This window comes from Homo sapiens, chromosome 22 (assembly GCF_000001405.40).
Source record: "Homo sapiens chromosome 22, GRCh38.p14 Primary Assembly".
Classification (NCBI taxonomy): Eukaryota; Metazoa; Chordata; class Mammalia; order Primates; family Hominidae; genus Homo; species Homo sapiens.
In genome coordinates, this window is record NC_000022.11 from 45866749 (window position 1) to 45894728 (window position 27980).

General features: G+C 57.0%; 1 protein-coding gene and 1 long non-coding RNA gene across 8 annotated transcripts, besides 3 other annotated features; one reads left to right on the forward strand and one right to left on the reverse strand.

The window, feature by feature from the left end:
- On the forward strand, positions 1 to 27668 carry LOC105373071 (uncharacterized). 7 transcript variants are annotated; one of them, XR_007068131.1, is made up of 9 exons: positions 9697 to 9785; positions 10583 to 10922; positions 11766 to 11835; positions 17067 to 17142; positions 17359 to 17653; positions 18364 to 18409; positions 19006 to 19061; positions 19228 to 19337; positions 27083 to 27668. XR_007068131.1 is itself a non-coding variant. In XM_047441693.1 (4 exons), exons 1-4 carry the CDS (start codon positions 18142 to 18144, stop codon positions 19594 to 19596), a joined length of 573 nt encoding a protein of 190 aa, XP_047297649.1. In that variant the 5' UTR covers positions 17907 to 18141; the 3' UTR covers positions 19597 to 20596. The 7 variants fall into 7 exon arrangements, 1 of the variants encoding a protein (XP_047297649.1); XR_007068133.1 differs by adding an exon at positions 1 to 3879 and having other exon boundaries at positions 9642 to 9785; positions 10583 to 17653; positions 18364 to 19061; XR_007068134.1 differs by lacking the exon at positions 11766 to 11835 and having other exon boundaries at positions 17067 to 17653; positions 18364 to 19337.
- Positions 595 to 1169: an enhancer, noted in NCBI's record as "H3K27ac-H3K4me1 hESC enhancer chr22:46263223-46263797 (GRCh37/hg19 assembly coordinates)". NCBI's record gives its function as "activates a minimal SCP1, AML or CMV promoter by ChIP-STARR-seq in naive H9 embryonic stem cells {active_cell/tissue: H9 hESC(naive)}" and the evidence as "EXISTENCE:reporter gene assay evidence [ECO:0000049][PMID:30033119]".
- Positions 9332 to 20978, reverse strand: LOC107985535 (uncharacterized). Its single transcript, NR_171771.1, has 3 exons — positions 20898 to 20978; positions 12343 to 12501; positions 9332 to 9793 (listed from the first exon to the last, which is right to left on the reverse strand). It is a non-coding gene; the product is annotated as an uncharacterized LOC107985535 (long non-coding RNA).
- Positions 13164 to 14079: an enhancer, noted in NCBI's record as "H3K27ac-H3K4me1 hESC enhancer chr22:46275792-46276707 (GRCh37/hg19 assembly coordinates)". NCBI's record gives its function as "activates a minimal SCP1, AML or CMV promoter by ChIP-STARR-seq in naive H9 embryonic stem cells {active_cell/tissue: H9 hESC(naive)}" and the evidence as "EXISTENCE:reporter gene assay evidence [ECO:0000049][PMID:30033119]".
- Positions 14080 to 14994: an enhancer, noted in NCBI's record as "H3K27ac-H3K4me1 hESC enhancer chr22:46276708-46277622 (GRCh37/hg19 assembly coordinates)". NCBI's record gives its function as "activates a minimal SCP1, AML or CMV promoter by ChIP-STARR-seq in naive H9 embryonic stem cells {active_cell/tissue: H9 hESC(naive)}" and the evidence as "EXISTENCE:reporter gene assay evidence [ECO:0000049][PMID:30033119]".
- Positions 27669 to 27980: the final 312 nt, after the last annotated feature.

A 27980-nucleotide genomic window follows, 5' to 3' on the forward strand; every position in this document is an offset into this window, starting at 1 on the left:
GGAGCGCGGGAGGACCGGCCTGCCTGTGCCCGGCAAAGGGGGCCCTTCCGAGGCGGGCTCCCTTCCCCGCCGCTCCCGTAAGCGCGGGAGCCAGAGGACCCCAGACCCGCCGCGGCCCACCCCAAGCCCCGATCAAGTCCTGCAGCGCGGGAGGGACCCCTGCAGGCGCGGGGCCAGACGGGCGACAAAGCGGCGGACTGCGAGGGCCCTGAGGAAGCCGGCGGCGCGGGGTCAGGAGCAACCTGCTATTCGTAGGGTCAGGAGCCCACGCGTCCCCACTGCGGAGGGCGGGGTCGCAGCCAGGCCTCCCCGTTTCTAGCTGTGCGGCCTGGGGCGAGGTGCTTGACCTCTCGGGGCCTCAGTTTCCTTCTCTATGAAGCGGAGCTGATCGGCCGCGTCCCGGGGCTGCTGTGACAGTCCAAGGCGAGAACAGCAGCTCCGCGCCGCCCCTGGTGCTGGAGAACCGCTGGGGCCTCGGGAGAGGGCGCGGCGCGGCGGAGCGGCCCTGGCAGCCGGAGGGCGCGTGTGGCCAGGGCCGATCCTGCACTGCCCTCTGCGGGATGGCCCGGCCCAGTCCTCGACCCCCAGCACCTCCGCCGCCCGGCCTGGCCACCACCTCCGCTCCACGCGCCCAGGCCGCTCCCGTCGCGGGTCTCGGAGATTCTCCCGCGCCCAGGGGTGTCCCGCAGCCCCGGGCCTCAGCACCCAGCGCTCCCTTCTCCACGACGACAATGAGGCGGACCCTCCCCAGCGCCCTCCAGAGCTGTCGCATCCCGGGAGGTCAGGGCGAGTGTTGTTTGCATTTCACAGAGCAGGAAGCTTAGGCACAGACAGCGGCTCCCCGACCCTCGCTCGGCCTCTGCTGAGCAGGGAACGGCCTGAACGCGTCCGGCCAAGCGCCGCCTCCGGCCTCTGCCCGCGGCCCGGCGCGCCCTCCTCCCCAGCGCGCCCCTATCCTGCACGCATCCGCGGCCCCGGGCCCTTTCCGCAGCCCCACGCGGTCTCCTCCCGGGTTAAATCTATCCACTCGCGCGTTCCTTGGCAGCCGTGATCACAGGCGTGACCACGGTCCCCAAGCCCTCGCGCCTCCGTCCACGCTATTGCGGCCGCCCCTGCGCGCCTGTCCCCTCCCTGTCCCCTCCTTCCAGCTCTGGAAACAGCAGCACCGGAAGCCCCCTGCCCCAGACTCACTGCCCACCCCCGGCCGAGCTGGCTGCCAGCCGAGCCCCTTGGATCTCTGCGCCCCCCCGGGCCCCCCACCACTCCACAGCCCTGCGTGTCTCTGCTCTTTCTCAAAGTAAAGCCCTTCAAGTGCCATCCACTTGCGTCTCCCATTGGGATCCCCCTTCTCCCACCCCACAGCCCCTCCTCTGAAGCCTTTCATGTCCCTCAGTCTGGCTGCGACTCCTCCTTCTCCTGCCCTCCTGCTGGGTTCCCTGCCTTCCCCACTGGCGGCTTCTCCCCTGTGCTCTCCACCGGGTTTCTCTCTTCTACATTCCCTGGAAACCCATCCAGTTCTTCAGACACAATAATTCTCCTATGACCCCCAAATATGTGCAGCCTGGACGGTGCCCTGAGCTCCAGACTCCTACATCCAACTCCAGGCCAAGCCGGATGCCTCGCCTGGCACCCGCCCCAGCCCAGACCTGTCCCCGCCCGCAACTTCCCAAACTCAGAAAATGACAACTCCTTTCCTCCCTTTTCTCCCCACGCAAACTTTACACTTGTCCCTGACTCCCCTCTTTCTCTCCAGTCTCACGTTTATTCCGTCAGAAAATCCCATGGCTCTCCCTTCCAGACATGGCCAGAACCCGGCCTCCCGGGCTAAGCCAAGGCAAGCTGCCTTTGCTCTTCCTGATGGTCACGGCTGCACCTTCCCTGGGCTCCCTGCCCCTGGTGTGGCCACCATAAGTCCCCACCCATCATCCTTTCTGAACCTAAGTCAAATCACATCATTCTTCTGCCAAAACCCTCCAAAGACTCTCAGCTTGCTCAGCGCACAGCCCGGTGCTCCTGGAGCCCACAGAAGGGGCACTGCCCTGGCTTCCCCTTCTGCCGCCGCGGCCGCTGAGGTGCTCCTCACTCAGACAAAGCTTCCTCCTGCTTCAGGCCCAAGGCACCAGAAGCTTCCTTCACCCGGACGCTCCTCCCTCAGACATCTGCCACCTCATTCCCACACCTCCTCCCAGTCTGCTAAAATGTCACCTTCTCCATGAAATTGCACCTGCAGCCTCCTTCCTGCAGTGGCCTGTCTCCCCTGCCCTGCCTCCCGGTTGTCTTGGACTTGCAGCCATCTGGCTGGCCCAGGGTCTATTAAATGCACTATCTGGCTCACAAGGGTAGTATGTGGGTCCCTTTGCTCACCACTGCATCCCTGTGCCTTGGGCAGCCCTGGCACATGCCAGGTGCCTGGCAAGCAGCTGCTGAGTGAATAGCACATGGACGGCCCCGTGCTCCGTTCTCAGAAGCAGGAGTTGCAACAAGGTGGTCCCAGGGGCGAGTCTTCGTCAGTCCCAGGGCACTCCAGCCTTCCACTCCCACTGCATTTCATCCAGGGCCGGAGCGGGTGGTCCTGACCTCAGCGCCCTGGATGGCCAGAGGGTCAGCATCAAAGCCGGATTAGCTCCCCAGCTTAGCCCTGGCTGCCACATTCTTGTGACAGTTGTAGAACTGGAGAGCATCGGCGGGCCCAGTCTCAGCCTTGGACTCGGAGCTCTGGGAGTCCCTGCTACCACACATGCTCACACTCACACGTGCACACTTGCGCGCGCACACACACACACACACACACTTGCTAGTGCTGCCACCGGTTATGGAGCCGGGGTCCTCAACTTTGCTAACAACTCCTTGCAGCCCAACAGGAGACTGAACCCTGGGCGGACCCTTCCTGTCAAGACCCTCTTGTGTAGCATCTCATTTGCAGGAAGGAGGACCTTGCCTGCCCAGAGGGCAACACGGCTTGCAGCCCCTGCTGCTGCCCACCCCAAGGGCAGGGCTGGCTCCACTGTGCCTGCTCAGCCATGGTGAGGGAGAGTTCCTCCTCCCAGACAAGCACCAGCCTCTCCCAAATAGAAAGGCTACAAGCGACCCTACTGGTCACCATGTAGACCAAACAAGGTAACCCTGGGAATGCTCAGAGCATAGTGGCTCTCAGGGACCAGGGTGGTAATGACCATGGCTGTAGTTAGCATAATTCCAAGCTTGGCTTGATGCAGCTTGAATCACAATCAACCCCTCAACTGGCTCTTATTTTGTTTTGCCCTCACCTGGGGAAATTTGTTCTCCCCCTTCTTCCTGGCGCGTGGCACCTTTGTCAGTCTCTTTCTCCAGTTCAAAGGGAAACTGCTCTCTGAACAGCAATCAGAACCACAAGCCAGGGGTTCCAGGCTCTCTCAGCCTTGGCATCGCAGAGATGGGGAACACCAGGCTTTTCGTCTGCATGAACAAAGCCGTGGGCATCCCACCAGGAGGTTGCGTCTGGCTTGCTTGCCTCTGTCCAGGGAACCTGGCCAGCCCTGGTACCTAGTAACCTGTGTCAAATCACATTTTATTCTCTTTCTGTAAGAATTATTGTCTGCAGTTTTCCCCATCACTACCACCACCAATCCATTATCCCTTCGGTGGAGTTGTAGTCAGGAGAGGGCTGACATTTGTCTGGCTTTGTGTGGCGGTCACGCGCCTTGCAAGTAGGAGGTGGCCAATCCTTGATTTAAAACGAGAGAGCACTTCTGCTTCTGGCCAAAATGGAGTAACAGGCTTCTTTACCACACCTGCAGCAACTGAAATAATCAGACAGAATACATGAGACAGTGGCTTCCAAGACCCCGACATCAGGCAAAATTAAATGCAGTGATCCCAGAGAGAAAGGAAACAAGCAAGGTGAGCCCCTCTAATTGCCCCACATTTCTGCCTTGAGAGAGGGAGATTTCTCCCCCGGCCATGGTGCAGGCAGGGGGAAGCCAGACAGATCCCAGAAGACTCCCAAGTTCCAGAGGTGGGGCTGGGAGTCCAGGAAGATCAAGGCAGCTGGAGTTCACTGGACAGAGTTTCAGAGAAAAGAGAGTTATGCAGGGAGGGAAGTGAGAGACGTGCAGGGGTGCCTTTCCAGTGTCCCCCAGAATACAGATCACTGCAAATATGGGAGGAAAATAATTGAGGCTTGTGGAGAGAATCATCCTAAAGGATTAAAAAGAACAGGCCGGGCACAGTGGCTCACGCCAGTTATCCCAACATTTTGGGAGGCTGAGGCAGGCAGATCACGAGGTCAGGAGATTGAGACCATCCTGGCCAACATGGTGAAACCCCATCTCTACTAAAAGTACAGGCCGGGCGTGGTGGCTCATGCCTGTAATCCCAGCACTTTGGGAGGCCGAGGCGGGAGGATCACGAGGTCAGGAGATCAAGGCCATCCTGGCTAACATGGTGAAACCCCGTCTCTACTAAAAATACAAAAAATTAGCTGGGCATGGTGGTGGGCACCTGTAGTTCCAGCTACTCGAGAGGCTGAGGCAGAAGGATGGCGTGAACCTGGGAGACAGAGCTTGCAGTGAGCCGAGATCACACCACCGCACTCCAGCCTGGGCGACAGAGCAAGACTCTGTCTCAAAAAAAAAAAAAAAGGTATAAAAAATTAGCCGGGCATGGTGGCAGGCGCCTATAGTCCCAGCTACTCGGGAGGCTGAGGCAGGAGAATCACTTGAACCCAGGAGGTGGAGGTTGCAGTGAGCTGAGATTGTGCCACTGCACTCCAGTCTGGCGACAGAGCGAAACTCCATCTCAAAAAAAAAAAAAAAAAAAAAAAAAAAAGTACCTGGTGCTCACACGGGCCCAGGAATAATGTTTATTTCCACCAGCCAGACTGGAATAATCCATAATTCTGGTGGGGCATTTGGCATATTTGTGTCTGGGGTTGGGGAGGGGAAGGTTGAGTAAGAAAGATCTTGCCTCAGTAGTGGAGAAAAAAATCCTAGACTGACTACTTATCCAGACCTTTCTAATAAATATATTATGAAGAATTAAACTAATTCCAAGTAACTTAACCGCATCCCAGAACAAAGCATATTTACTGGAATGCAAAGATATCTACTGTTTTACCAAATGTCAAATATCCAATCAGAGATTATGAGACATACAAAGAAGCAGGAAATATTATTAATACTGACATAATGAGGAAATGATTAAGCAATCAAAAGTGACCCATGATTAACACAGATGTTACAATTAGCAAAGAAGTACATTAAAATAGTTATCGCTGGGCGTGGTGGTTCACGCCTGTAATCCCAGCACTTTGGGAGACCGAGGCAGGCAGATCACTTGAGGTCAGGAGTTTGAGACCGGCCTGGCCAACATGGTGAAACCCTGTCTCTACTAAAAAAATACAAAAATAAACCAGGCGTGGTGGTGTGCACCTGTAATCCCAGCTACTCTGGAGGCTGAGGCAGGATAATTGCTTGAGCCCTGGAGGTGGAGGTTGCAGTGAGCGGAGATCATGCCACTGTACTCCCGCCTGGGTGACACAGCAAGACTCTGTCTCAAAAAAAAAAAAATATATATATATATATATATATATAATTATCATAATTGTATTCCACAAGATCGCACAATAGAAACATGTAGAATTTAAAAATATATGTGTACCCCATTCAGGCCAGGCACAGTGACTCATGCTTGTAATCCCAGCATGCTTGAAGACATAGCAGTAGGGACTATCGACAAAGAAACACACAGAGGGAAAAAGAATTCCACATTTGGGAGGCTGACGCATGAGGATCACCTGAGGTCAGAAGTTCAAGACAAGCCTGGGTAACATGGTAAAACCCCGTCTCCACTAAAAATACAAAAATTAGCTGGGCATGGTGGCCTGGGGCTGCAATCTCAACTACTTGGGAGGCTGAGGCATGAGAACCTCTTGAACCCAGGAGGTGGAGGTTGCAGTGAGCAGAGGTCATGCTACTCTCAAGCCTGGGCAACAGAGCAAGACCCTGTCTCAAAAATAAATAAAATAAAATAGCCCAATCAAGCTTCATTGAAAACTGTAATGCATGATATGAAAAATGCATTAGATGTAATCAATAGAAAATTAGACATTGCAGAAGAAAAGATTAGTGAACTTGAAGACATAGCAATAGAAACTATCCACAAAGAAACATACAGAGGGAAAAGAATTCCACAAAATAGAGGACATCAATGAGCTGTAGGTCAACTTCAAGCAGCTTAATAATTGGAACCTCTGAAGGAGAGGAGGTAGGAAATGGAAAAAAATTTCGAAAAAATAATGATCAAAATTTTTCCAAAACAATGAAAGCTATAAACCCACAGATCTAAGGAGTCTACAAACTCCAAACACAAGAACCATGAAGAAAACACCAAGGTACATCATACTAGAATCGCTCAAAAACAGTAATAAAGACAACATCTTAAAAGCAGCCAGAGGGGGGAAAGACGTATTACATAGAAAGGAAGAAAATAAGAATGGCAACAGACTTCTTATCAGAAACAATGCAAGTGGGAAGACAGTGAAGCAACATCTTTAAAGTACTGGGATCAAAAACTGTCAACCAATACCCGTATGTAAAGCAAAAATATATTTCAAAAGATATTTTCAACAAAAATATACTCAGTGAAATATCTTTCAAAACCAAAGGTTAAATAATGACATTTTAAAACACAAAAGTAGGGGAAAAAACATATTGGCAACACATTTGCTCTGTAAAAAAAATGTTAAAGAAAGTCCTCCTTGCAGAGGAAAAATAACAGATGGGAATGTAGATCTACACAAACGAATGAAGAACACTGAAAATGGCACCTCCATGGGTACGTATGCAAGATTTTCAAAATTGTTTAATTCTCCTTAGAAGATAATTGAAAAGAATGCTTAAATAAATGAACAGATATCCCATATTCATGGGTTGGAAGACTTAATATTGTTAACATGGCAATACCGCATAAAGTAATCATAGATTCAATGCAGTAGCTATCAAAATTTCAAGGGCCTTTTTGCAGAAATAGAAAAAGCCAATCCTCAAATTCATATGGAATGGTAAGGGGTCCCAAATAGCCAAGAAATCTTGAAAAAGAACAAAGTTGGAGGTCATACTTCCTGATTTTATAACTAACTACAAGATGATAGACTTAAACCTAACTATATTAATAATCACATTAAATGCAAATAGTCCAAACACCCCTGTCTTAGAACCTTCAGGATGCTATAACAAAATATGTTAGACTGAGTAATTTATAACCAACAGAATGTATTGCTCACTGTTCTGGAGGCTGGGAAGTCCAAGATCGAGATGCTAGCAGATTGGGTGTCTGGTGAGGGCTGCTCTCTGTTTCAAAGATGGCACCTTCTAGCCGTGTTCTCACATGGTGGAAGGGACAAACACCATGAGGTTAAAAGTAAAAGGATAGAAAAAGACACACCATAATAACAGTTGTCAAAAGAAAGCTGGAATAGCTACAGCATTGAAGTAAATTTCAGAGGAAAGAATATTACCAGGCATAAAGAAGGCCACCTAATAATTATAAAGGTGTCAATTAATCAAGAAGACAGAACAATCTTAAATAGCTATCTACTTAATAACAGCATTTCAAAATGCATGCACAAACTGATGGAACTGAAGGAAGAAAGAAATCACAATCATGGCCAGAGATTCCAATATCCCTCTCTCAGACATTGATAGAACAAGTAGACAATCGGTAAGGATATAATAGAAGATCTGAGCAACATTATCTGCCAGCTTGACCGAATTATAATTTATGGAATGCTGTACTCAATCATAGCAAAATAAACCTTCTTTTTAAGTGTACATAGAACATTTACCAAGATAGACCATATTCTGGTCCATAAAATGTAAAAGGATTCAACTTATACAAAATTATACAAAATATGTTCTCTGGCCGTAATGGAAATCAAAAACATAATGATTAACGATAACTTGACAATCCCCAAATATTTGGAAACCAAATAACTTATACTCCACTAGTCAAAGAAGATACCAAAGGTAAAATTAGAAAGTAGTATAACCTGAATGAAAATGGAAATATAGCACAGAATTTGTGAGAAAGTCCTAAGGCAGAGCTGAGCTTAGCTTCAGATGCTGCCAAATGCCTAATTAGAAAAGATGAAAGAGCTCAAATCAGTGACCTCAGCTCCACCTTAAGAAACTAGAAATAGAGCAAATTAAAGTAAGCGAAAGAAAGGACTCCCGGCACTTTGGGAGGTCGAGGTGGGTGGACCACCTGAGGTCAGGAGTTCAAGACCAGCCTGGCCAACATGGTGAACCCTCGTCTCTACTAGAAATACAAAATGAGCTGGGCATGGTGGTGCATACCTGTAGTCCCAGCTACTTGGGAAACTGAGGCAAGCAGTCACTTGAACCCAGGAGGCGGAGGTTTCAGTGAGCAAAGTTCACGCCACTGCACTCCAACCTGGGCAATAGAGCGAGACTTCGTCTCAAAAAAAAAACAACACTCATATAATCATCTCAATACATGCAGAAAAGGCATCTGACAAAATCTAACATCTATTCCTTATAAAAACTCTCACCAAACCAGAAATAGAAGGGAACTTCCTCAACCTGACAACAGACATCTACAAAAACCCTGCAGATAAAATCACACTTAATGGTGAAAGACTGAATGTTTTCCCCCTGAGATCAGGAATAAGAGAACGATGTTCAGTCTCGCCACTTCTATTCAACATTGTACTGGAAGTTCTAGCCAGGGAAATGGGTCAAGAAAAATAAATAAAGGAAATTCAGACTGGAAAGGAGGACACAAAACTGTCTTTATTTGCAGATGACATGATCATCTATGTAGAAAGTCCAGTGAAGCTACAAAAAGCTACTAGAACTAATCACTGAATTTAATAAGGCTGCAGGAACAAAATCTATACACATAAATCAATTGTATTTCTATACACTAGCAACCAGCAATTGAAAATTAAGAAATACTTAAGGATAAATCTGACGCAAATGTGAAAAACCTGTACATTAAAAATACACAGCTGAGATAAATGAGATCTACATTAATGGAGAGGTATACTACATTCATAGGCTGGAAGACTCCAAATTGTTAAGATGCCATTTTCCTCTCAAATTGATCTATAGAGTCAATGTAATTGCAATAAAGATTCCAGCAGGCTTTTGTTGTAGAAGCTGACAAACTGACTCTAAAATTCATATGGAAATGTGTGGAAAATGGAAGAACCAAAACAACTTTGTTTATTTATTCATTCATTTATTTATTTTTTTGAGACAGAGTTTCGCTCTTGTTGCCCAGGCTGGAGTGCAATGGTGTGATCTCAGCTCACTGCAACCTCCACCCCGCAGGTTCAAGCAATTCTCCTGCCTCAGCCCCCCAAGTAGCTGGGATTACGGGCGCCCACCACCACACCTGGCTAATTTTGTAGTATTAGTAGAGACAGGGTTTCTGCATGTTGGTCAGATTGTTCTTGAACTCCTGACCTCAGGTGATCCACCCGCCTCGGCCTCCCTAAGTGCTGGGATTACAGGCGTTAGCCACCGCGCCCGGCTGACTATGGTTTTTAAAAGTAAAATCCTTCAGACCTTCCTGGGGGCAAATAATAAATGCCAAGATGTGGTGACCCAGAAGACAGGCCTGTCCCTCGGTCACCGCAGGATCCCTTCTCTGGACATTGAGGCTCCTTGGAGGAGAGCAGGTGTCTGGTCCGCAGGCAGATGTCTGATGCGAGGGACCCACGGTAACTCCACCCTGCAGACCGGGCCACAGAGGCAGCTTCTCCGGGGCCGCTTGGCTCTGAGGTGAGTTTCTAATGGGAAAAGAGGTCTTGTCTGTGGGTTGGAGAAATAAGCCCAAATCCCCTTTCTGGGACCTGATGTTCAGCTTTCGTGTCAATGCACACATCCCAGAAACAGGGGCCAGCCAGAGACTCCAGGAAGTGGGCTCCCCCTCAGGGTCTCCCCAGGTCCGGCATGGGCTCTGGCTCTTCGAGGATCTTCCTAGAGAAAGGCACCGTGCTCAGGCCAGTGGCCCGAGGGGACAGGCTCAGGAACCCGCTCCTAGCTGGCTGCACGGGGGAAGGGGTTGGGGGAAGAGGGGCAGGCCCTTACTCCTCACTCCCACCCCTGCCCCGCCCCAGTCTACGCATTTGGGAAGCAAGGCTGGAAGAGACCCAGCCGCCTGGCCTGCAGCCCACATCCATCCCCATGGGACCAGAGAACCCACAGAGGGTCGTCCAGAACACCTGGGACACAGAGGCAGTTTTGTGGGTAGAGCCAGGCACACATCCAGCGGCAGAGGCCCTAGGAGCAGGGCTCAGGGTAGAGACTGAGTGCCCTGAGGCAGCTTCTGGGGGTCTTCAAAAGAGGACCCATCTCCTGGACACACAGAACCCACTTTGCCCATGCAAAGCCCGGGGCCCAGTCCTGATGACTTAGGAGCAAAGAGACTTGGGAGTTATGGTAAAATTGGGGATACTAACAGCTTCCTTGCAGACCTGTCAGGAGGACTGGATTAGAATGGGCACCCCTAAGCATCTTCCCATGTGTGGAGGGGGCGCTCAGAGCCCTGATGTCCTTTTCCTATTTGTTCCCCGCAGGAGTGGGGTGACCAGAAGATTCTGGGTCTACTGGATTTTGAAAAAAGGCAGACAGCAGAGTGAGACGGAGACAGTCTGGAGAGCCAGCCAGCAGAACTCTGCACAGCTGTATTCTCCACCTCCCACCTTGCGCCCTGCTGTCCCCGGGGTCGTGGACCAGCAGAGGGTGGGCAGGAGACCGCATTCACAGTGTGGCTCCTCACTGTCATCCCAGAGTCTCCCCTCACGAGCACCCCGGCTGCAGGGTGTAACCTGAGGCCCTAGCAGGGCCCATGGAGCTTCTGCTGCTTTTCCCCGGGGGCCCTGATGTGACATTTCTCGTCCAGGAAGAGGATGGAAGGTGAGGTCCCTCTCCACACTGCACCTGCCACCCTGGGGCTCCCCACCCACCTGCGCAGGAGGGAGGAGCAGGGGACACCCTTGGGAGGGCGTTTCCTTTAAAAACATCAGACCACGAACCAGGGCCCAATGGGGCGGCCCAGAGGCAGTGGAAGGGAAAGCGGAGCTCGATCTGGGTTTCGGCCCCAGCAAGTCCCCTCCCCCGGTTGACCCAAATTTCCCACTATAAAGTGAAGGCGGGAGCTGGACTCCAGCTCGCGGAGGAAATCCGGCCGCCGCGCAGCGGGCTGAGGTGGAAGGTGTCATCGGTCATCCTCGTCATCTTGATATTCACCTGGGACCCTTGTGGGAACCTCTTTCCCTAGTTTGCCACCAGCTCTGCCTCTCCCTCACCCACCTGTGACCCAAGCACATTCTCGTGACCTCTCTGAGCCTCAGTTTCCTTATCTGTCAAGTCGAGATCACAGCACTGACCTCCAGGGCTCACTGGGAAGCGGGGATGAGGTGGTGCGCATTGCAGTGACTGGCACCGGCTGTGAGCTCAGAACACGGCGGCTGGAGCTATCCGCCAGCAACTCTTAAGCCAAAGCCCTCACCGGGCTGCCTGCCAGCTGTCAGAGACCAAGCTCCAGGTGACCCCTCCACCGAGAGCAGTTCCCCCTTCCCCCTTCTGAGCGCCAGGCAGGTCCACAGCCGCCCTGCTCCGGAGTGGGTCCCAGGTGGCAGGCGGGGGTAGAGAGGATTCAGGGTGCTGCCTTCTGTCCTTCACACCCTGCAAGGGGCCCCTTCCAATCAGAAGCTGTTTCCATGGCAACCCTGCTGGGCCCCATCCTCCCCTTTGCAGCCAAAGACTCCACCTCGGGCCGGCCTCGCCACTGTCCCTCCTTGAAGGCATGATTGGTCTCTTCTCCCCTGTGAGTATGTCCAACACGTTTGAACAGAGTCGCTTCTCACAGCCCATCCTCAAAGCCAGCACCGGGGCCCAACACCCCGCCCCCCACACGCCGCCCCTCTCTCAGCTGTGGCCCCGCCTGCCCAGCAGGGCAGATTGCCTGGCAAGCAGTCAGCTTGTAATTAGCACTCATTAGCGCTCCAGCAATCTGCAGACAAGTCACCTGTGGCCAAGTCCCTTCTGAACGATTGCAATGATTCCTGTGGGTTTCAAACATCAAAGGATGCGGAGCTGAGCGAGAGGCAGGCAGCGCCCTTTGTGCTTATTTCTGCCCCTTCCCGCTCTTGCACCCCAGAAAGTTCTCATCTGTGGAATGGGCCGGGGCAGGGAGGGTGGCTGAGGTAGCACTCGCAGCGGGCCTGGGGAGCTGAATGGGGCTGGGTCCTGGCCTCCCAGCCAGCTGCCCTTCCTGAGAAAGCATCTCTGCAAACACGGTGTGTCCACGAGGTCCCTGCAGGAGGATACTCACATCCAGCCAGAAGATGAGGCTGCTGTGTCGGTGGCCAAGGCCTTCCAGTGCCGGGGCTGGAGCGCCTGCAGGTGGTGTAAGCAGAGGGGGCGTCGTCCTCGGGGAGCTCACAGCCTGGGGAGAGGCAGAGGGGTCGTGGGGTAGACCCAGGGCCCAGCACTTCTAGAAGAGAGAGCAGAGGGGCTGGGGAGATGGCCCGTGGTCCCCACACAGGGAGAGAAGAGCATGTGCAAAGTCCCAAAGCAGAGGGCATCTGGGCCATGACGACCACTAGCCAGTCAGACAGGGTGGCCTCCCCACAGCTGACACCCTCCGGCCTTCCCTCCCTCCTTCCCACACACTCCCTCCCTCCTTCCCTCCCCCTTCCCTCCCTCCTTCCCTCCCTCCCCCTTCCCTCCCTGCTTCCCTCCCTCCTCCCTACACACTTCTGCCCTTCCTTCCTTCCTTCCTTCTTTCCTCCCTCCTTCCCTCCCTCCCTTCCTCCCTCCCTCCCTTCCCCCCTCCCTCCCTCCCTCCCTCCCTCCCTTCCCTCCCTTCCCCCCCTTCCTCCCTCCCTCCCTCCTTGCTATCATCTAGTGGGCAAAAAATAGACTCTACTTTAGAGTCAAAGACTCTTAGACCTCAAATGCTCTGGTCCTGGGCCCAACTGGCCCAGTTCCCAAATGGAAGAACTCAGCAACAGGGATTTGCATGAATCGTGCTGCGCCCGACGGAACCGTGGCCAAGGCCCAGACCCCTGGACCCCTGCTCTGTGACCTTCCCATGACACAAAGCTGCTGTGGCCTCCACCCCGGCCAGGGTCAGAGAGTGCTCTAAAAAAAAAAAAAAGCCTGCCACATTTCTCTTCTGGTTTCAAATTGATGATCCGAGAATAATTGGCTCTATAGGCAGAGTAGGTCCCTGTACACAATGCAACCTTCAGAGATAGGACAGGACGTGTTGGCAAATCCTCCATCCTCTTCTGAAGGATGCTCGGGGCAGAGGAGAGGCTCGGACATCAGGACAGGCTCTGGGAAGGCTCTTGGTGTCTCCCTGTTGGGGGACCTCTGCTGTGACTTGGGGGACATGTGCAGCCATATAAGGAGGGAAGGTCAGCTGCCTCCACCGCGACCACCTCCTGACCGTGCAGTGACTGCTTAAGAGTGACAGCTCCTCAGGCCCTGGGAACAGCAGGGAGGGGGCTGGTGACAGAGGCTTTGGGGAAAGCAGGCCCCATGGCCTCCAGCCTGCCTGGACTCAGCCACCTGCGGTGACCTCCTAGTGTCCAGGCCCCAGGCCACCCAGGGGCTGCTCCTGGCAGCTCTGGGCAGTGGTCAAGTCCTTGAGGAAAAGCAGAAAAGGTGGCCGGGCTGAGGGCTCCCAGGACTGTGGGGCGGCTGAACCCTGCCCAGGGTCCGTCTGCTGGCCAGCCGCCTCCGAGGATGGTCTGGCTTTCCCATCACGGTTTGTCAGGAATGGGGTCGGGGCTGGGGCGCATGTATTCGTATTCCTCAGATATCCCTGTTGCCCGGTCTGCCTTGGTGCGGGAGAAGACGTTCCGGCTGCACCCCATGAGTTCCGGGGGGGGAAGGAAGGAGAACGCACGGGAACCATCGATCCCATTGATTTGCCGGGGTTGTGGGAAGACGCTTCTCTCCTGCGGGATTTTTTAAAGCGCAGTTTGGCTGGGCTTGGGTTTCTTCTTCACTAATTGAATTCCATTTGTGCCGGAGAGAACAGAAAAAATACTGTTTGCCTCCGCCCGGCCCCTCCCCCTGCGGCGAGGAGGAGAAGGGCAAGTGCGGATAGAGGGGACGCCTTTCAGGCCGTGTGAACGAGCCCCAGCCGAGGTGACCCGAGCGGCCACGGCTCGGCACAGGGCAGGTGTCCCCGGGACAATACCCCCCGGCCCCCCGGGCAGCCTTCAGGGGCAGTGGCAGGCACTGGGGATGGGAGGGCCAGGGACCACCCCGGGGAGAGAATGCTGGAGCCAGCCGGGGTCCTGGGGGCAGGGCCTGAAGGAAGTCCCCGGGCACCCGGGCCCTGATGAATGCAGCCGCGGTTGAGAATCGCCCGCGTGAATCCCTATTCAGAGCGGAGCCCTTGTTCTCGCCGAGTCTGCTGCCTGGGCAGCCGCAGATGTCCCAGAGCAGAGTGGACGATTCTGCAGACACAAAGGCGCTTGTGGGGAGCTGGTGCTGCGTTTTGTTTGGGTTTGGGTTTTTCGTGCCTAAGCCAGTGAAGCGAGCGAGGCCTTCGCTTAAACTTGACCTCCTGGTGGCTCCCAGCACCCCGCTGGCCAGCCGGTCCCAGGAGGGCTGCAGTAAGTCAGTGAGTCCGGGCCACTTGGATGCCACCCGGCCCCAGCGCCCCCGTGGCAGCTGTTCCCCGGAGAGCAGTGGTGACCATGGGAATGATCGTGACAGTGACAGTGCCCTCCCTGCTCACGGGGTGTCTTCTCATTTCCATGTTAAAGATGAAGAAACTGAGGCCGGGAGGCTAAGCGGCTTGCATCTATGTTCACACAGCCCCACAATGTCCGGAGTGGGTGCTTCCCGCCCAGGCTGTCTCTTGGACGTCCCTGTGCCCAGCCCTGTCCTGGTGTTCCTTGAGGGGAGGAGGCTGGGGCTACCCAGCTTCTGGGGCTCAGGGCCTTTCCATCCTTGGGGACCGCCTGTGGCTGGCAGACACCTCCCATCTCAGGGTCAGACCTCCCTGCTGTCTATCACGCCTTATGGGGGATATGCCCATTGAAGACTTTTTTTTTTTTTGGAGACGGAGTCTCACTCTGTCACCCAGGCTGGAGTACAGTGGGATGATCTCAACTCACTGCAACCTCTGCCACCTGGGCTCAAGCAAGTCTCCTGCCTCAGCCTCCTGAGTAGCTGGGATTACAGGCACCTGCCACTGCGCCTGGCTAATTTTGTAGTTTCTAGTAGAGATGGGGTTTCACCATCTTGGCCATGCTGGTCTTGAACTCCTGACCTCGTGATCCACCCACCTCGGCCTCCCAAAGTGCTGGGATTACAGGCGTGAGTCACCGCGCCCGGCCCCATTGAAGACTTTATCTGTGACCGACATCGTTGAGGATGGGAGGTTGAACCCCAGTGGACAGTCACTTCCACCCTGGCTCTTACGGCTGCACGAGCCAGGCTGAGAATTCTGCAGGTGCCGTTGTCTGTGGTCTGACTGTGACCTGAACCTGGCGGCTGGCAAGCTCCGTGTGTCTCTGAGGCGTCTTGGCTCTGCTGCACCCAGAGGTTTAATGAACGTGAGAAAACATCGCACGGGAGGTGCTGGCAAACCCCCTCCCGACAAGGGCCACAGTCCAGGTCCTGGGAGGGGCTCACGCTGCTCAGCCGCCAAAGATATGGGGAAGCCCCCCAGACCAGTGACCCATTATCCATATCCATGGGGGCCTAAGGAGAAGGGGACTTGCCTTCAGGTAGCTCCCAGTCCGGTGATCCCCCTGCCGACAAGCGCCCATGTGTGTAAAGTGGGGTAATGGAGGTGGCTCAGGGAGCACTGACCGTGAAACAGGCGAAGTGGCCACTGCCTGAGCGTTCCACATTGTTCCAGCGCCAGCCTGACGGGCATTTGTGGGCATTGGGCGGAGCACCTATGACATCGACAGAACCCCAGCGCCCGCCCCAGAGGACAGCGCCGATGGAGAGGAACCAGGGGCACAGAGACGTTAACTGACTTTCTCCCAGTCACACAGCAGTAGAGGAAAGGGCCTAGGCAACCCCACCCTCCCAGGCTCCCAGCAGTAGATGGATGAAGGATGAGGGGACACCTAGGGAGGAGGGCAGGGATGGGAGGACCAGGAGCTAAGGCTGGGAGCCGGGAGGAAGGCGGCCGGCACTCAGGTGAGTGTGGGGCCAATGCCAGGCCCTGGGCGTGGAACCGGGGAGTTCGTGTTTCAGCTCCACAGCCAGGACTCACTTTGCAGGGAGAGCGAGGGGGAGGGTCACCTGCTCCCTGAAGCCAGGTGTGGGCAGTCAGGCTGGCTTCCTCTCCAGGCCACCTCACCCCACTTCCACCCCACCACTTCCACCCCACAGGAGGAGCGTGGGCAGGCAAGTCCCGGCAAGGGTGCTGCTTTCCTGGGCCTGAGCCACGCCCAGTGGCCGTGGGGCTGGGGAGATGGCAGATGTGGGGGAGAATGTTGAGGCTGGTGATCGGTGATAGCTGCGGCCCAGCCAGTTTGGGTACTGCATGCGCCATCCAAAGCCCCGAGGCCCGGGAGACGAGCCAGCCCAGTCAGATCGCCAGTGGAGAGCCAGGCCGGGCAGCTGGGAGACCTGGCTGCAACGGTGCCTCTGGGCTCCAGGGGTAGGTTTGGCCTCAGCGGTCCTGACTCAGGATGCCCCGGCCTTCTCCACGGGTGCCCAGCACAGGGGCTCCTCCCAGGGCCAACACTGCACTCTCCAAGGATTTACTCTACCCTCTGGAGTGGGACCCCTGGCATCACCCGTGCCACCCCACCTTCCTTGCTGGGCCAGCCTCCACACGGCCGAGAGTGATGATGTGGTTGATAATCACCACCACCATTATCGAGCCCATTTCACATGCTGAGCCCTGAGCCCCAGACACACATAGCCTGGGCTCGTCCCCTCCTGCCCTGCTCCCGCGCTGTTCGTACCCTCAAGGTCCCTGTGTGTGTTTGCTGCAAGCGGCATTTGGGTAGGTTCTTTGCATCTGTTTTCTCTACTCCTTGCAACAGCCTTGTCCCCATTTTACAGATGATAAATTGAGCCACGCAGAGGAGAGGTAACTCCCTCCTGTCCTCAGAGTGTCCCGAAGACCCTCCTTTGCCTGGTGAGTGACATACTAGAGCCCGCACGGTGACAGCTCAGGTATGTGGCACCCCTCGGACCCACCCCTCCCTGGGTGGAGTGGCCCAGCTGTGGTGGGCACTTCCTCACCCAGCCGTGGGCACAGGCCAGACCCTGAGCCCAGCGGCCCTGTAATTTCAGATGTAGCTGGGCATGTGTGTGTTATTGGGTGATACTTAAATCCTAACCTTTTCAAAAGCAAACCCAAGTAAGCACATATTGGAGAACCATAATTCCAAGCTTGGAGGCCTCCCTCAAGGCGATGGGGAGTGTGGCATCGTGACCGCTAACCCGGTCCCTCCGCGGCCTTGGGTTTAAAAGCGTCTGTGTCCAGCCGGGAGGTGAACTCCTGACAGCAACGCCCGTCCAGCCCACACCTCTGCCTGGCAGTGTGCAGCAGGACCCCTGAAGCCCAAGTCGAGAGCAGCGCCTGGTCTCCACCCGAGACTGGGTGGCGGAGAAGCGCTGCCTCTGACCTCAGTGAGCATGGAGAGGTGAGATGCCTGGCGGCCCACGCCATTGAAGGCACAGCTGAGGGCTGGTCAGGGCAGGTAACTGGGAAGGCTGTGGATGCCTCGGGCCCCCAAGCAAACAAAGCCTTTGAGGGAGCCCAGGGTCCTGACCGGGAGCGATGCAAGGCCCCCGGCTGCAGGGACAGCTTGGGAAGGGCCCCCGCTCACTCCAGCTGCACTTTGTGGGCCGTGGGGAGCTAAGGGATGTGTTCAAGGAATGCAGATGTGTTTCAGGAATAAACCAGCCCAGAACCCCCTGGCAGCTGGCAGGGAGTTCCCCACCCTTATCTCATTGCAGGCTGCATGGTGTGGCCAAAGGCACTGAGCCAGGCTTTCCCTCGTGGGAACCAGGGCAAGGGCCTGGCCCAGCCTGGGGACTGCAGTGGTCTCGCTTGGGTTTGCTGTGCAACTGGGTAGCGGTGGTGCCTGCCCCGAGCCCTCGGTCCAGTCAGTGAGGGTGTGACAGCGAGATGAGCCAGGAGACGATGTTCTCCCTCAGCACACGACTGTCCCTGAGAGGCCACCAGGACCTGGCTGTCATTGTCCCTGTCACTGACAGCTGGAGAGGATGCCCAGGCTGTGGGCAGGGCAGTGTGGGAAGGGGGCTGGGCAGGAGGTGCTGGGACAAGGCCAGGCTCCTTCCTGCTGGCTTCCCTCGTGTGTTGATGGGCTATATGTTTTCTTTGATTAAGGCGGTGACAGGTTTGGACAGTAGAGATTTCAGCAATTTCTGGAAGGGTGAGTTGGTGCCGCACAACCTTGCCTGGGAACTGGGACACACGGCCTGGACCAAGCTGTGGTGACAGGGACACCCCTCCCAAAGCCTGGGTTGCCTGCTCAGCCTCACTCCCCCCAGCCTGCATGTGGCCGCCCCTCCCCTCAGCGAATTTGTCTGTTTCCCCATCCACCTGCTCCCAGGCTTCATTTGAGGCTGGGTCCGAGCACCGCCCCGCAGCCTTCCTGGCCCCAGCCCTTCACAGGAGCCTGCTCGGGGAGCCTCGTGGGCGTCAATGGAGCTGGACGGGGGGCTTCCTCTGCACCCCCAGTGCAGAGGTGGGGAGCCCTGCCAGGGGTGACTGCCTCCCACTACCCCATGGGGCCCACAGAGTTGGCCAAGATGGCCCCCTTCCCACGGGGGCTGAGCAGGGCCCCACTCCCCAGGGACGGGGACTTGTGGGACCAGGAGACACAGCCCAGGGCAGTGGCCGAAGCCACTGCCCCTCCCACCACACCCTCTCGGGCTTGCACTGGTCCCCAGCCCCATGCCTCCCCTGCTCTTCATGTTCATCTTCAGGGGACCCCCTCTGTCCCTGACTGTCCCCTCGCCACCACAGCCTGTCTCATCCATCTCAGCTCACCACTCCCACCGCCCAGGGGGTCTCCCTGCCAGGTGTGAACTAGGGGTGGTGGGGTGGGTGGAGGGGTGAGCGTGTGCCCTCTTCCTGTGCTGGGGGAGCTGGGGGTGTCAGGTGTGGAGGGAGGAGCCTGGTGGCGAGGCCTGGAGGGACCAGCAGGGGCCGTGGAGTCCTGGGCCTGTGGTGCATCCCCCACTTCAGTCTGAACAGGACCTGCCTCGGAAGCAGAATCGGATTCCGCTGACTGGGACAACGTCACGTGACAGCGAGTCCAGCGCCCGGGGCCTGGGAGAACAAAGGCGGCTGACCCGGTGAGCAGCAGTGACCGAGCATCCAGGGCTGCTCGCTGGCTCTCTCCAAACACATTAGTGGGCTTGTCAGAGATGCATGCTCCCCTCCGCCCTCATTCACGATACAAATGCCATTCCCAGGTGGCTTCGGGCCAGACGCACTCTGCTTGAATGCCCGCCGAAGCAGGTCCCAGCCCCAGACCTCAGCAGTCTCTGCCCCATGCGAGCCCAGTGCTGCCATCTGCATCTGGAAGGGGGCAGAGGGGGCCCAGGGCACTGATGAGCACTGGGCTGGGCTGCCTCCTCATCCGGGGCACCCTGCATCCGGCCTGCCCCCAACACTAGGGCCTGACGCATCTTCCCGTGCCACCTAAGGAGGGTCCTAGGGGGCCATGTGCTCCCAGGCCCTCCACGTCAGGTTCTCGGGAGGGAGGGCCTGGAAGGACTCAGAGCCTGCCTGATTCAGGGTGTCTTGCTTAGGTACAACCCCTGCCCCACCCACCCCAGCACCCTCCTTCCCGCCCCTCTCCCGGCAGTTCTTCCCTCTCTCTGTCACCCAGGCCCACGCATATTCTTTCTACATATTTCACTCGGATGCTCCCTCCTCCAGGAAGCCCTCCCTGACTGCACCCCAGCCCAGCAAGCCTAGGTGCTGGCCATGCTTCAAATATCACATACACACGTACTCACATGCTCACACATGCACACATGTACTCACACGCTCACACATGCACACACACACTTCCCCTCCCACAGCCACCATATGGTGGGAGGCGAAGTTTCCATCTCCTGTGTTGATCAGAGTTCACTAAGTGTAGGGACCATGTTTTGATCACCATGGGATCCTTGGCCCCAGCCAGACCCAGGGCCTGTTGTAGGACCCCGGGAAATGTTTGCTGAGAACCGGGAGTATCTGCAGCCTGCAATGGTGCAGACAGCGGCTGCTTCTCTGTGACACCGCGGCCAGGCCCCCAAAGGTTCTGGGTCATGCAAAGGGCAAGTTACCATTTTTTGAGCAACTGCTATGGGCCAAGGGCAGTGCTGATTTGTACAAATCACCTCATTTCCTATTGTTCCTAATGGTTTTGTGAGCATTTTCACCCCCACTGGAGAGTCAGGGAGATGGAGGCTCAGAGAGGAGGCCAGGAGCAGAGACTGTGGGAGCAGAGACACCTGACCACAGTGTCCCCAAGGTGCCGGAGCCCAGGCAGGCTACACACATACACACACATTCACACACACATTCACATTCTCACGCACACATAGGCACTCACAGGCACTCACACACATTCACACACACACACATTCACACACATGCACTCACATTCACACACATACACTCACACACATGCGCACTCACATCACACATGCACATTCACTCATGCACGCACTCACACATGCACGTTCACACACAGTCACACATTCACACACACATTCACACTTTCTCACTCCAGTTCACACTTTCTCACACACAGTCACACTCACATGTACTCACATTCACACACATGCACTCATACACACTCATACACATGCACACTCACACATTCACGCATGTACTCACACATTCACGCATGTACTCACACGCTCCTGGCTCTCCAGGTGCCCTCCAGGTGGCCTGCAGACCTCGGCCAGGCCTTCAGTCACATCCTGGTGGAAGACTGTGGCCGAAGCCTGGAGCCAGGCCAGGCGGGTGCCTGGACTGCCTCCCTGGGCACCACCTGATGGGGGCTGGACCCGCCCAGTTGCTTCCTCGTCAGAACCTGCCTTTCCTGCTGGGGTGAAGCCAAGGCTGTCCTCCCTGCCCCCACGGCTGCCACATGCTCCTGGCCATAAGCAGAGCTGACGGGCCCCAGATGGGAGTTGGGGCAGGCTTTGGAGGGTGGCAGGGCCCAGTGATACTGGGGGCTCTACCTTCCGGCTGGGCGCGCCCCACCTTGGCTGATGGAAGATGACCCAGTCCTGGCCAAGGCCCGGGCACTTCCTCACAGGCCCTGCACCCGGGTCCCATGTGGGACAGGGCCAGGAGTCCCCGTGGGGACAGGGTAAGCTTCCCTCAGGATGGCACGAGGTCTCAGGATGAGTTGTGGTGTCAGTCCCAGCTGAAGGGGGGCCCACCTTGTTTCTAGCTCTGGCTCTGGTGAGTCCCTTTGTGCCTCAGTTTCCCTGGATGTAAGTGACACGGCACCCACAGGGGCACTTTTGCGGACTTGGCAATGTAATCATGGCACGTGAGAGGCTGGCAGACGGCGGGGCTACCCGCTTGCTCTTCTGGTCTCCAGAACATGCTCCTTCCAGGCACAGTCCCCTTGTTCAGCCCTAGACCTGACCCTTCTTCCAGCTTACCCGGGCACCCCAGTTCCCAGAGGAGGCCTTCTTCCTGATTACTGTACACATCCCAACACACCTCCCCTGCCCCTCACACACATGCCCCGCACCCTGTGCCAGCTCACCCGGGCACCCCAGCTCCCCACTCTCTCTCCTCTTGAATAGACACCAGCTCTTAGAATGGCTGCAGCGGCCCTCACAGGCCCACCAAGCACTTCCATTCTGGCTCTCCCTGGACAGCTTGGGAAGAGTTTTCTAAACGCAGAAATGAGCCCACGCCCCCTGCCCTCGGCTCTCACCAAGCCCCCTGGGCGCTCTCACAGCAGGGCCGCCACCCACCCAATGCCCACTCAAATGTGCCCTCCAAGACCTCCCTCCTTCCCTCTCCCTGCCTGGCCCCTCAAAACCCCACACCTGCTGTTGGCCCGAGACTCCCCGCAGTCCCTCCTTGCCCGGGTCCGCCATGGACCCTGGGCACAAGTATGGGGTCGCCTGCTCATTGACAAGCCCAGGGCTCAGTCTCTGATCCTCAAAAAACCCTCAGGCAGGTGAGGCTTGGGGCAGCCAGAGGCCTCCTGCTATGGTCCCGCTCCAGGTGTCCGAGCCGGGACGGGCTCCAGGGTCCTTGCTGCCCGCTGCGGGCTCCTCTTCTGGGCCCCCCTCCGCCCACCCTTCCCTGCATCTCAGGTCTCACTGTGACCCCTGGCAGAGGGGCACACTGCCATCTGGAGCAGAAGGTGGCCTGGCAGGGGCCTGGCTTGGCTTCTGGCCTGTGGTCACTCCTTGGCCACCTATGCCAGGGGCAGCACTGAGCCCCCCAGGACAGGCTGTCCCTGAACAGAGCGGTGAGGATGAGGGGCTCCCAGCCGCGGCCCCAAAGACTACCTGCCACCCCACCTCGCCATTCTGCTGTCCCCTCTGCCCCTGAAGCACATGGACTCTTTCTGAGACATCGGCTTTAGCGTTGCTGGCTGGGCTCCTCTGGGGGTCGCTGGCCATCAGGCTAAAGGGGTCTTGCCCACCCAGGCATGGAGAGGCCAGCCAGGGGTCTGAGGTCCATCCGAGTAGCCAGGCGCCATCTGGGAGATGACCTCCAGCCTCGGGGCCAGGCTGGGTGGGTGCTGAAGGCAGCAGGGACCTGAGTGTCTCTTGCCGTCCCTCTCAGGCCTCCTCTGGGGGTTGGGGGGCCTTTCAAGGATGGAGAGGACCGTCAGCGAGTCGTCCCGCCCCATTTTGTTCCCATCCTGATGGGAAGCTCCGGTGGGGCCCCTCGCCCTCCCGGCGGGGCCGTGACTAAAGCCCGATCCCCCTTCCGCCCCAGTCACTGGGCCTGGCTTTGTGCGCCGGGCCTTTCTTTCTCTGCCGGACCGTGGAAAAGGCGGCGTCAGCGCCGGCTTTGTCTGGCCCCGCCGCGCCGCTGTTCTCAGGGCTGGACAAAGCCGCCCGCTTCACAGCCGCCCGGGCGGATGCAGCCCATTCACTGTTTGGATAATTCGACCACAAAAAGCGTGTGGCCCTTTCGCCTCCATCGGCGGGACTCGGCACCCCGCCCCCACGGCCTTTCAGGGCTCTCGGGAGGGAAAATTCCCACAGGTCCCACAGGCAGGCAAGGGCCCTGGAAAGACAGCGGCTTCGGCCTCCAGCGGCCCCTGCCCAAATCCCGGTACCGGCTCTGCGGCCCGGGCGAGGGACCGATTCTCCATCGGAAAACAGGACGAGAGGCCCCCACCCCAGAGGCAGGGTCCTGGGGCCCTGAGGAGCTCTGCCCTTCCCCTCTCCCCTGGGAACCAGCGCCAGGCTCTGGGCAAGTCACTCCCTCCCTCCGGCCTCAACTTAGTTCTTAGAGCTGCAAAAACGGGGGATAAATCATGTTTGCGTCCCAGGGGGTCACAAGGCCCGGGTGGGACCACCAGTCCCAGAGCTTGGCACGTGGTGAGAATTGGAAAGCCGTCAGCCCTTCCTCCCACACCCACGGGGCTGCGCTGTGCCCCACAGGCTGCACAGGGTGCGGGGCGTGTGTGTGCGGGGCGTGTGTGTGAGGGGCGTGTGTGTGAGGGGCGAGTGTGTGAGGGGCGTGTGTGTGCGGGGCGAGTGTGTGAGGGGCGAGTGTGTGCGGGGCGAGTGTGTGAGGGGCGTGTGTGTGCGGGGCGTGTGTGTGCGGGGCGTGTGTGTGCGGGGCGAGTGTGTGAGGGGCGTTTGTGTGAGGGGCGTGTGTGTGAGGGGCGAGTGTGTGCGGGGCGAGTGTGTGAGGGGCGTGTGTGTGCGGGGCGTGTGTGTGAGGGGCGAGTGTGTGAGGGGCGAGTGTGTGAGGGGCGAGTGTGTGAGGGGCGTGTGTGTGAGGGGCGTGTGTGTGAGGGGCGTGTGTGTGAGGGGCGTGTGTGTGAGGGGCGTGTGTGTGCGGGGCGAGTGTGTGCGGGGCGAGTGTGTGCGGGGCGAGTGTGTGCGGGGCGAGTGTGTGCGGGGCGTGTGTGTGCGGGGCAGGGAGGTGTGTTGGGATGTGTGCAGTAATCAGGCTGCCACACTGAGAAAGGGATGCACCGCTAGACCCCACGAGCAAGGGCCCTCCACGTCCTGTCAGACCTAAAACCAACTTTCGGCCCAAGACCAGCCTCATTTCTCCAGAGGATGTTGTCTGAGAAACCGCCTTCCTCCCTGCTCCGACCCCTTCCCAGCTCCCCGCACGGCCCTCGCCTCCTTCCTCCCAGGAGCTCTGGCCGCAGCCCCGGGCTCTCCCGTACCCACCGTTCTCCCAGCCCAGCGTCTGTCCTTCAGGAACCCCGCCGGCCCCACCTCCGCGGTCTCCATCGCGGGTCCCAGCACCGCCCTCCCTCTCCTGGTAGCTGCAGCAGCACCTGCCCCACGTCCCCCGGCCCCCCACAGCCTCTGCTAGAGGCTCACCCCGCGTCCTCACCCCGCGTCCTCACCCCGCGTCCTCACCCCGCGTCCTCCTCACCCCGCGTCCTCACCCCGCGTCCTCACCCCGCGTCCTCACCCCGCGTCCTCGCGCCCTCACACCTGGCTTCATCCACCCCAGCCACAGATGTTTTCTGGGCCTCAGTCCCCCTCATCCTCTGCTGCTCCTCCCACGGCCCCCCCACCCTGGGGCCCACTCCCTCCCCGCCTTCAGGTCTTGGCTGTGGGGACACTTCTCGGTGAGGCCCCGCTTCCACCCCATCCCTCAGGGCCCTGCCCTGCGCCAGCCCAGGGGCCCCGCAGGATGTTCACCACCGCCCAGCGCTTCCCTTCCTCTTTCGCGTTCTGTGTCTGCACTGGAGCGGCCGGCCCGGCAGGTAGGCTTTGGTCTGTCTTGTTCACCGCGGTGGCCCAGTGCCCACACGCGCCCGCGCCCCGCGGGAAGTAGCTAAGTACTGTTGGGAGTGAGTGTGGACACCTAGTACCCCACCCCCGGGATCGGCCACACCTGTGTGCACAGCGCCCCTTCCCCACCCAGCAGCCTATCCCTGCCTGATCTGTCTCCCTCTGCCTCTCTTCCCCTCCAAGCCATGAGCCCCTGTGGCCCCCACACCAGGCCAGACACCCCAAGGGCCACCTTCAAATGTGGTCTGTGTGTGTGGAATGAACAAAGGAGCAGGCTGAGCCCGTGCCCTGGGGGATCAGTGCCTGTAGCAACCAGAACCAGCAGAGTCCCAGCCCCACCCACCTCACCCGGACAGCCCCCCGAGGGGTGCGCCGACCGGGGTGCCTCCAGGCCTGCCGTGACTCTCTTGACTGAAGTGGGCAACAACCCCTCCATCTCCTTGGCCACACCCGGGCCCCGGGCACTCTCAAGCCCCCATCTCTGCACCCCTCGGTGTGGTCACGCTGCTCCCCGGGCCATGCAGACAGCCATTTGCAGGGACCCTCTCTGGAAGGAGAAGGGCTGGCCCAGAGCCCCAAGACCTGAACACCCCAGACCCTCGCCCACACGCAGCAGCCTCTGGAGAGAGCTCCTGCCCAGCCCGGGGCATCCCTGTTCAGGTGGCCCTCTGGCGTCTTGGTAGCGGCTGCCTGGAGCTGCTTTACTGGGAACACCTAAGCCCTGCGGAACCGATTCTCCCCCCTGCTCCCGGGCTTCCCTGTCTGGGCAGGGCCCTGGGCTGCGGGGGCCGCCTCAGGAGGCCTTGGCAGCTGTGGTCTGGGGCTGTGGTGAGCAGGCTGGGGCCCCACTGGGGCCTGGCTGGGACGTGTGAGCAGCCTCTGGCCTGGCAGGTCCCCTCCTGCCTCATGTGCTCAAGGCCCTGGGGAATCAGCTCCTGACAACATGAGAAGGGGCATCCTGCAGGTCAGTCACCCCATTTTACAAGTGGGGAAACTGAGGCGGAGGAGGGGACCTGCTGGAGGCTGAACAGGAAGGAAGCAGCACTGTGAGGCTGAGAAGCCTGGCAACTGCCCATAGACCAGACCCCTCTGCTGGGCCAGGCTACGCCAGCCCCTGGAAGCCCTCTCAGTGCAACTGCTTTTAGTGCACGGATCACTCGGTGATTCCCAAACAGTGTCCCACGGAACCCCATGAGATAGGACATGCCTGACCACAGAAGGGCTCGGGGGCCAGGGAGGACAGGAGATGCCACGTGAGGCATCAAGCCATGGCATGAAGCCAGTGGCATTTCAGGCTGGTAAGAGAAGTGGCGTTGGAACCAGATATCCTGGGGAGCCACCTCCGGCCAGGGCCCTGTGGCCCCTTCCCCACATGCAGCACCCGCACACCCTATGCCCCCGGCCTTGCCCACCAGGCAGGCATGGCTAGACATGGGTTCAGTCTCTGTTCCACCCTGGCTCAACCTGGGTGAGGCACCTGCTGACCCAGAGCCTGTTTCCCCACTTGTGTCTCAGGGGACTAAGACCCACCCACCGCCTCAGACTGTGTGTGGCTATAAGCCAGTGAAAAAGCCCACATGTCCTCCTGGGGCCTACCTCTCAGACCCTGGCCTCCTAGGGGCTGGCTGCACCTTGGCAGGTACCTGCGGCCCTGGCCGTCGCGGCCTGTGCTTCCAGAAGCTGGGCAGGGCAGCTTGAGGGGAACCCTGGGATGGAACTTGCAGCCACCCTGGCTGGGGACAGCTGGGACCACCCCTACTCCTGAGACACCACCAGCAAATTGCAAATTCCAATGGCAGCTAGATTTTTCACCCGATCTATGCAATCAAGGTAAAGCTTTTAGAAGTTGATTCTGTCTAGAGTGACTCATTAGACATGATCGTGAATGCTCTTGCAAATTCAGTTTAAAAGTTCAGCACGAAGGCAAAATTGTTTGTTTTTGCAGTGATGATAGACACAGAAATTCTGTGGTAAAAGCAATGTTCTCATTAAAGTCAGACACCAAATGGGGTAGAGACGAGCTTGGTGGTGACGCTCACAGAATTCATAACTGCGGCTGTGACCAGGTGGCAAAGCAGAGGCTGTGGTTATTCACCTTTGCCACTGTCTTCCGGTGTGCCCAGTCACAGGAGCTGCACGGCAATGCATCTGAGACCATGCGGTGTCACCTTCACAGAAGTGCTCTGGCACAGAGACTCCAGCCTTGCCGGCCTCTCGCCTCCCAAGCACAGAAGCCTCCAGAACGCTGCTTCAAGGACAAGCCCAGGAGACCTGCCATGCTCATGCGTGTCTTTGGAAACAGGTTCTCTAAATTTTGCTTGTGGTTTGTTAAAAAAAAAAAAAAAATCAGAAGTGTAATCAAAGACTTCAACAAACGAAGCACCAAAACACTTCAGCTTTGAAATGTAGAATTGCAATGACTGGAAACACGGCTCGCAAAGCAAAAGACATTAAAATTCAGTCATCCCTACAGAAGCCGGACAGGAATTGATCACATCCACTAGTGAAGGCTCAGAAAGTGACAAGATTTCATTTGGAAATCGTACCTGTGTCCTTGGGAACATCCTGAACCTTGGGAAGCATCAGCTCATGGAGTTCCTATTAACTGGATAAATTTATATTCTAGATTGAAATGGAATGGAATTAAGTAGGCCCACGGTTTTGCAGCACGTACATTTGAAGAATCATTAAAAATCATCATAGAAACAATTTATTTGACGAGATTTGTCTTGTACAAATATTTGTTAAATATTTGTACTCCGAACGGAGGCCAAAAGACAGCACCTGTGGGAAACTTTAGGCTGAAATATTTACACATTTCAACGCAAAATGTCAGAACTGAGAATCTGCCGTGTGCTCACAAGGTACCCCAACCCTGCAGAGAGAGACAATTTTCTTGATCCAAATGTCATCATCTACCCAGAAGTGTCCATGGACAGCACAGATTCACATTCTGGGGCCGTTAAAATGTGAATGTGAGCTATCAATGGACACTTCTGGGTAGATCATGACCTTTGGATT

Excerpts from the sequence above, each read along its gene's own strand:
- LOC105373071 (XM_047441693.1), top strand. The coding sequence starts at position 18,142 with ATGAGCCAGGAGACGATGTTCTCCCTCAGCACACGACTGTCCCTGAGA. Across the intron at positions 19,062-19,227 it reads CCAGGGGGTCTCCCTGCCAG|TCTGAACAGGACCTGCCTCG; the intron begins GTGTGAACTAGG and ends CCCCCACTTCAG. Across the intron at positions 19,338-19,457 it reads GAACAAAGGCGGCTGACCCG|GTGGCTTCGGGCCAGACGCA; the intron begins GTGAGCAGCAGT and ends TGCCATTCCCAG.